The following is a 9035-nucleotide window of genomic DNA, read 5'->3' as shown; positions in this document are numbered from 1 at the left end:
CACATGGCTTTGGGTAAATACACCATAGGCTCTCTCAGTTAAAGTCCCCTTATCAGAAACAATATTGTGATACCCAGCATTCCCAGTTCAAAGGGTTGGGTATATTCAAGGGGGTCGATGTGTTTAGAAGGGTTTTGTAAATTAGAAAGCATATACAAGAATAAAACTTTTTTTTAACAAAGGAAGTCTGTATCATAAAATGGGCAACATTTAAACCTCCAGTATTGTTTTACTTTTAGAACCAAACTTGTACAATGTAAACATGGAGGATAGAGAGAGCTTCTTTTAATTCTTCCCATATGGTACATGCATACTCTGTGGTTCTTATCTTCATGAAGTGTATTTCTGTTGGCTAATGTTGGGCAGATCATTCTATTTCAATGTATAGGCAAGAATATAGATTTTGAAATGTGTTTCCTATAGTTTAAAAATCAGCGACCAAGACACTAATAAACATTACCCAGAACTTAAATTTAACCCCCCGTTTTTCCACAACAGGGTTCTAAAGTAACATTCACATTTCTGTTTAACATTTTTTATTCCCCATACTGAAATATCAGGAACAAAATTACATCATTTAATTCCAGGACTCCATTTTCTATTCTAACACCAGGTCCTAGATTTCTCTTTTTCTCTAAATCCATGGGCAATAGCCAATGAAAGTTATTTTTATCTAACATTTATCTATTGACAAGACCTCCAAATAGACCTTCCCTTCCTTTAAGTCCTCTCTTCCTTCATATCACTTCCATATTATATTTTTAAAGCATCAGGTAGGCAATGTAAGTCTACTATCCTGAAGTCGTCAGTGATTCCCCATCAGATGAAGCCTGACATTCAAAGCCAACAATACATAAAAGATTTATTTTGCCTTATCCTCACCAATTTGGATGTTTTCGATTTTTACCTATCTGATAGATGCAAATGCTAAGCTATTATAATGTGTGCCTGTATATGTACATAAATTGAATTTATTTATTTATCTCTTGGCTGTTTCTAGGTTATACATTTTCCTTTTTTCCATTTTCAACACTGCTTTGACTCCCTTTCTGAGTTTTCTTTATATATTTTGCTATGAATTAGGTTTGGTAGATGTTTGCCTTTATTTAAAGTTAGAATGAGAGATTAGATCCAAGGTTTTCCAGCTTCCTTTCCTCAGAATTTTTTTTACACAGATCTTGCACAAAGTAGGAATTTAATGAGTGTATGCAGCTTGGCTTTCTGTGAGACTGTCTAGCTGTCAATTCTGAAAAGTTAAACAGAAGTGAGGGATAATTATAAGTGGAGATACATTTGAATTATGGGGTTGAGAGGACTGGCTTGGCTTTGGGACAGTCTTTCTCCAATCTGACATGGTGTTCGTCAAGGCAGGAGTGGAGAGTCTATTGACTGGACACTATGTCTGTTCACATGATGGGCTACGGAGGGAGGTAAGCTGTAAAAAGTTCGTGGAGTTAGGAGTATTCATCTCCTATATTCTGATTTGTGAGACAGAACTGCTTAGAAAACAGTGACCTTCTTCATTATTTTATTCCACTGCCTGTATTATTCTCCACTCTTTAATCATCCACTTCCTTAGGCTCCTATTTTGTGTCTACATATTTTAAATTCACAACATGTTTTCTTACTCTCAGGAGAATAAAAAATAAAACAAATAGACTTACTGGGTAGCAAGAGGAGGGAAAACACAATCTGTATCCTTCTTATGACCAGACGAAGCTTGCATCTCTCTCAAGAAAGGACTTCGTATCATGGTGTTAGCTGTCTGCGACTCAGACTAAAGCTACTTCTCTATACAGCTTGAAGAAGCAGCTACCTATTAGCTGTCCAATAGAAAAAGAAATCTATGAAATCTAACAGAAGTGTCTTTTAAGTTGGATATTCTTTCTGTTCTTTCAATGGAAAGTATGAAAATAACTCAGAAAGATTTCCTTGTTTCAAGTGTTCAACATCCTGAGCTCTCTCCAACACGTCAAGAGTTCCTGAGTAGGTTACCATTTCTCAGTCTTCCCAGGGAATACAGACAGACATCACTGCTCTTCTTCCCCATCATTTCCTCTGCATCCCGATTCCCACATGACTAATTTCTTCCATTCCATAATAAGAACCACTGCCCAATTACTCCTCCCCACTCATTACCTTGCCTTCCTGACCCTCTTCTGTTATATAGACCAACAACCCAAGGATGGAAATTGGTAGCTGTATATGTGACTATATCTGCTTTACTTATTGCTAAGTAATATTTAGAGAAAGTATATAGCCCTTCTGTTCACCGGAAGAGTGAATGCCTGAACTTATTTCTTCCTGTGGGTGCAATCTCTTCCACTCTTTTCCTGAAACATCTTTACCCCTCTTTGAAAACAGTGTCTTGTTCTAACCCTGTCCTGATATAACGCTCCTCTATATTTTTCTCATACTCATCGTTTTAAAAAATTATCTAAATATTTCCCTCTGATATCCTTCCTCTTTCTTTCTTTTTTCCCTTATTCTTCAGTACTTTCATGGTTGTTTTTATTTTTGTCTTTTAAGAATTATACATCCATACCTTACTTCCCAGAAGCCTTTGAAGGCAGCAGTCCTTGATATTTCTTAGGCTGACTTGTTTCATAAAGATTTCTAAAAGAGTTTTTAGAGAGCCAGTGAGCCCCGTGATTTATGATGATTGCTCAAGCAGTGGCAGAGCTGGAAGAATTGAACAAAACACAAGAATCCTGAGGGAAACCACAAGCTAATGTAAAATGCCATAGACTTCTAGTTTCAAAAAGATCTGTACAATAATGTAGTCAAACCTCAGTACTTTAAGGAAGAAGACACTGCAGTTCCAAGATGATAAGTAATTTACCAAAGGCCACACCCTAGTGTGTAGCAAGATTGAAAAAAGGGAACCAGACCCAAGTCTCCTGCTGCCACTTAGGTCCCTTCCTTTATTCTTTCCATTACAATCACTTCACTCTTTTTAAAGTTCCAGAACTAAGCACAAGTTATGTGAGCCCTCTCTCATTAATCTGGGGGTACAGATCTCTGGCATACATCAAGGGAGTTACTTTCCATGGAAAACAAGTCAGTCTGACAATGGCTCAGGAGCTCACAATTGCATTGTTTTAAGAGCAAACTGCCTCTCTGTTCTGCCTTCTAAATTACAGGGAAGGGAAAATCCAAGCTCCTAAAAACGTTTTAAATAGACTGCATCGAGTGGCATGCCAACACTGAGTAACTGTGCCATCCAGCAGAGCATTATCATCATTCTGAAGGGCAGGGGTTCGGTGTTAGTGTCAGAAGGGAGCTAACCACTCTTCATGTCCTTGTCTAACATTTAGCTGAAGAGGAAGACGGTCTCAAATTGCTTTCTTTTAACATCTTTACTAGTTTTATGCTTACAAAAAGAAGGAACTCTTTATTCTGGGTAGTTCATGATAGCCACTTGCAAGTAATTGTATTGGTTTTTCATAGCTACTGTCTTCAGATTTATTTCAAGATTTCAATATGGTGGAAAAAGGCAAGTGGGACAGAGGTGAGAGAAGAGGGGTTCTCCTTAACTATTTTTAAGTTTGGCCCATGTTTATAGAGTCCTTACTTCCATAAGGGCACCCTTTCTTGGAGGAAATACGGACCCTGTTTACTTTAGGGTACCTTATACATTCTATGATTGGTGCCTTATTTTTTTGTTTTGTTTTTTAGTTTGTTTTCTCTTCTCAAAGTATTTGGAAGGGGGATTAATAAGAACAATTTCTGGCGGATGGAAGTAAACATTTTTAATTGTACATTTTAGATGTTCTTTTTATACGAACAAACTCAGTAAGCAACATTTGAGATAATGTCTTATGTTTCTATTTGCTTGGGACACAAAAGATTATCTTTCATCGGGGGAGAGTCTCTAAAACTATATTGCTTTAGTTTAGATTAGGCTTGCCAGATAAAATACAGGACACTCAATTAAGTTTGAATTTAAGATGGAAAGCAAATAATACCTCTAGTATTTGTTTTCTCAACTGTTTCATGAGGAATACACATCCTAAAAAATTGTTTGTTGTTTATCTAAAAGTCAAATTTAACTGGATATCCTTCTATTTTTATTTACTAAATCTGGCAACCCTAGTTTAGATATCAGTATTGAACTAACTGTGGAGTCCCCTGCCTCTGGAATTTTAAAGAAGAATAAACTTGTAGAAATTGTTTAATACCCTAAAGAAAATAAAAAGAGTAAAGGAAAAAGACTAAAGTACTACAGAAATTGTATGCTCAAAATGGAGCTTCACTGTACAGATTAGAATTATGATTTTTGCTATCAATGTAAGGTTTGATTTTACAAACCTGGTGGTTGGAAATTTCATCATTTATTACTGCAGTGGTGGTCAATGTAGAAGCAAACAATTTCACACACTTTTGAAGATGACTAAAGAGGGAATATTTTATGGTTGTCACACTTTGGGACCCTGAACTAATGCAGTATATGTTATCCAGGATAAGTCACTTTTAGCAATATAATGTTGTACGAATCTTTTATGTGTTCTGTGCCTCAGTTACCTCATTTTAAAATATGGGCTAACAATAGAGTCTCTTTCATAGGTCCTTTGTGGGGACAACTGCTAAGCACAATGTATGGCAAACAAGTGCACAACAGGTAGTAAAGACTCTTCTTCCACCTTCCTCTTCATCCTTCAGAAATAGTTATCAAAATATTAAATGTAGGATAAAAATGTGGTTGATTCAACAATGAACTCCTACTTAACAATAGAATGAAATGGCACACACAACACCAGCATTATAGGATATTATGAATATAATTTTGAGCAGAAGTAGCCAGACCAATGAGAATACATTGTATATTAGTGGCATATTTAACATCAGGAGTGGGCCATTTTTAATGTATTTGCTCTACACAATAAAAGTATCCTCAGTAATAATCATAAAGTAAGTGAAAAATAATAATTGACCCAGGATAAACAAAGCAAACTAAAAATAAATTTAAAATGTTAGTAAAATACTTAAAAATAAATATTACAGCACAAAAAAAGGGAAAAATAAATAATAGGTATACTTGCCTGTATTTTTTAGTCTACTCCCTACATGTTTTCAAAATTACATGGAAAAATGTCTGAAAAAATATATTTACCAAAATGGTGACTGAGACTATCATTTTGTAGTGGCATGGTGGGGAATTCTTTCTTTCTTTTTTTTATTATACTTACTTACCTTCAGGAAAGTATAATAATGAAAGTATACAGCAATTATAAAAAATCAATAATTATTTGCTGTATTTATTCCAGTGAATATATATTTTTATTTATGATAATGAAAGATAAAACTACTTTTAAAAAGACAGCATTGTCTCCTCTTATTCACCTGGCTGAAATCACTTATTTACCTGGCTGAATCACTTATTCAATATCAACAGGTGAACTCTGATGCTTTTGATTGACCTCATGGATCATGTGACCACACTTTCTGTTGATGTGTTTCATTGAGAAACAGGAGTGTGGAAAATGGGGTAAAGAAGTGATGAGAGAGAGAAGGTCAGAGAGAGAGAGAGAGAGAGAAACAGAGAGAGATCATTCTACTTGGTTATTTCAAAAATCTCTTTAATATCTTTAATAAAAATCAAAGCATAAACATTGTGATGAAATAATTACATAAAAACTGAAATACATAAGTATGTCAAAATAAAATACTTCACCATTTTCCCAGTCTTTAAATGTTAGCTTTTATTTTTATATCCCAAGTTCTCCATCCAGATTTGAGCAGCTTGTATCCCTTCTGGTAGAGTCAAAACTTTTCTAGGGTGCCTTGAAGACTCCAATATGGATGGCTATCTTTGGATGACAATCACATGCTAACTTGACTTTGGATCCTTGCTCTTTTAAGGACAATGATTGTCAACCATGATGGGGCATTATCACCTCCAAGAGAGTACTATCACCAAGAGGTGATAATGGGGCATTATCACCTCCAAGAGAGTACTCCAAAAGAGTACATTATCACCTCCAAGAGAGTACTTTAAACCTCCAGATATCTGAGCTGGATGCCAGTCCTACTAATTCAGAACCTCTGTGGGTGCACCTTTGAAATTTTTATTTTTAAAAGTATCATTGTCTGTACTGATGTATAGCCAGGGCTAAACACTGTTGCTCCAGGCAGAGGGACCTACACTGTAAAATAAAGAAAATCAAGAGAAGTGCCTTCCTATATTTCTAAATCAGCTACAACTGAGTATCAGGTTTTTGGCAAATGTAGTTTACAAGCACAAACTAGAAGACCTATTATTCTCATAGCATCTTTACATCAGCAAAATAATGTCCCATAACTTTTCTTAGATCACATTTTTTCATTTAATTACATCTTTTATTCATAGGTATTTGACCTTTGAATTTTGCATACAGTAGGATCAAAATTTTTTCATAAATTTGAATGTTTGTTGCTGAATTTTTGGTCCCTTAATTCTGCATTTCAAAGTTCACTAATAAATGTAACATTTGTAAGAGTTTCTGGCTAAGAAACAACCAATATAGTTTTTATTTACAAATTGACTTATATAGAAACACAGCTTTTCTTTTTTCATGAGTTATAGGATAATTGATATATAATGAACTACATTGTACAGTCAAAGTATACAATTTATTTAATTTTGACATCTGTTTACACTTGTGACACCACCGTCACAATCAAAATAACGTTTTCATTACTCCCTAAAGTTTCCTTCCACCCTCCTTAATCTATCCCAATCTTTATTTAACTCCATCCCTAGGCAATCACTGGTCTGCTTTCTGTCACTGAAAAATAGTTTCACTCTCTAGAATTTACAAAATGTGGAATTATGGAGAAATAGTCTTGGTTTGACTTTTTTTTTCACCATTTATTTAAGTCTCTTCTGAGTTTTTTAATCAGTAATATTTAGTTTTCCATATACAGATCATACAGATTTTTTTTAGATTGATAACTTTTTTCTTTTTTACTATTGTTTAAAACTGTTTTATTTCTATTTTAATTTCTAATAATAGTATACATAAATAAAACAGATTATTTTGCATACCTATCTTGTATCCCATGACCTTGAACTCATTAGTTCTAGTAGTGTTTTAATACAGAATATTAGAGATTTTCTACATAAACCATCATTGATCTTCAAGTGAAAGTTTATTTTTTCATTTTATATATGCAAGTTTTTAATTTATTTTTCTGCTCTGATTGCATTGGCTAGAGTTTTTAGTATGATAGTGAGTAAAAGTGGTGAGAGCAGACATGCATGCTTCGTTCTTGATTTTGGGGGAAATACATTCAGTCTGTCACTGTTTATATAATTTTACCTGGGTTTTTCTTTGTTGTTGTTATTGTTTTTTGGCGTATACGTTTCACAAGTTGAGAAAGTTCGCTTCCAGCTTTGCTGACATTTTAACTTTGATGAATGTAAAAAGCTGTTAAATGTTTTCCTTCCATCTACTGAGATGATCAAACTTTTCTTTCTATTTATGTTGACTTGGTAAATTACGTTGAATAATTTTCAAATGTTGAACAAATCTTAGATTACCATAAACACACTATATGTTCTGTTTCTTGTTGCTTTATTTCTCTTTCTTCCTGATAGCATTTGGAGTAATTTTGTTTCATAAGAGTTTATTTAAATCTCAATTTATAGGTTATTATTCATATCTCTTTAAAAATTTAATTTGTACCCTAAAGTTTACAATATGCATCTTTAATTAATTATAATATTGATTTGAATATTATATGGTTTTGTATATATTATAAGATTCTTACAGATCATTTTGCAGCTTATACATGTGATGACTGGGTTTTTTAACTCATAAGTGAGATGTGCCTTTCTTACATCTTATTATGACATTAGTACATTACCCATTTGATATGAAAAAATTTAAAAAAAGAGAAGAGAAAAAACCCAGAATTTTACAAATCACAGATTTCTCTCTCCTATTTTTTGTGCTATTTTTGTCATCTATGCTATTTTTATATACTTATAAACTTAAAATACATTTAAGTAACTTTACATGTTAGGCAGTAAAATTTCTTTTAAAAGCCAGGCATGGGGGCTCACACCTGTAATCCCAGCACTTTTGGAGGCCAAGGCAGGAGGCTCATTTGAGCCCAGGAGTTCGAGACTAGACTGGCCAACAAAGCAAGATTCTGTCTCTACAAAAGAGAAAAAAAAATAAAAAAAATAATCAGTCAGGCATTGTGGTGCATTCCTGTAGACTCAGCTACTTGGGAGGCAGGAAGATTGCTTGAGACTGGGAGTTCAAAGCTGCAGTGAGCTATAATCATGCCACTGCACTTCAGCCTGGGCACCAGAGTGAGACACTGTCTCTAAAAACAATTAAAATATATATTATATATAAAATAAATAATAAAATATATTTTACAGCAATTAATGCATTTTAGAACATCTTTTATATTTACATTTGTAATTAATCATTTCCAGAAATTTTTATTTATTTGTACAGATATAAAGTTTTTTTGATCATCCTGATTTTTTTTCTTTATTTCTTCTAAAAAAGAAAAAAACAGGATACATGTACAGAATATCCAGGTTTTTTACATAGGTATACGTGTGCCATGGTGGTTTGCTGCACCTATTGACCCGCCCTCTAAGTTCCCTCCCCTCACCCTGTCACCCGCTACCAGGATCTGGTGTGTGTTGTTCCCCTCTCTGTGTCCATGTGTTCTCATTGCTCAACTCCCACTTATGGAAGAGAACATGTGGTGTTTGGTTTTCTGTTCCTCTGTTAGTTTGCTGACAGATCTAAATTTTTTTCTGATATATTCTGGTCTTCCTGAGGGCATTTTTAAAAATGTTTCTTATAGTGCAGGTCTGCTGGCAATGAATTATCAATTTTTGTTTGTCTAAAGTTATCCCAATTTCTTTTGCATTTATTAAAGGTATTTTCACTATGCATAAAATTTGGGGTGCACAGTATTTTACTTTCGGTGCTTTAGTCATGGTGATCATTTTACTTAAGGCTTGTATAATTTTTGACAAGAAGTCTGCTGGAATTCTCCCTTTTCTTCTTGTGTATATCTTTTAC

The 9035-nt window shown here is 34.0% G+C and overlaps 1 non-coding gene across 1 annotated transcript; it reads left to right on the top strand.

Annotated features, from left to right (window-relative positions):
• Nucleotides 1-7754: 7754 nt before the first annotated feature.
• Nucleotides 7755-7858, top strand: LOC124901850 (small nucleolar RNA U13). Its single transcript, XR_007060683.1, has one exon. It is a non-coding gene; the product is annotated as a small nucleolar RNA U13 (small nucleolar RNA).
• Nucleotides 7859-9035: the final 1177 nt, after the last annotated feature.

The sequence above is a fragment of the Homo sapiens genome, chromosome 7 (assembly GCF_000001405.40).
Source record: "Homo sapiens chromosome 7, GRCh38.p14 Primary Assembly".
NCBI classification, from domain to species: Eukaryota; Metazoa; Chordata; class Mammalia; order Primates; family Hominidae; genus Homo; species Homo sapiens.
This window is presented reverse-complemented; position numbering and strand designations above follow the sequence as displayed.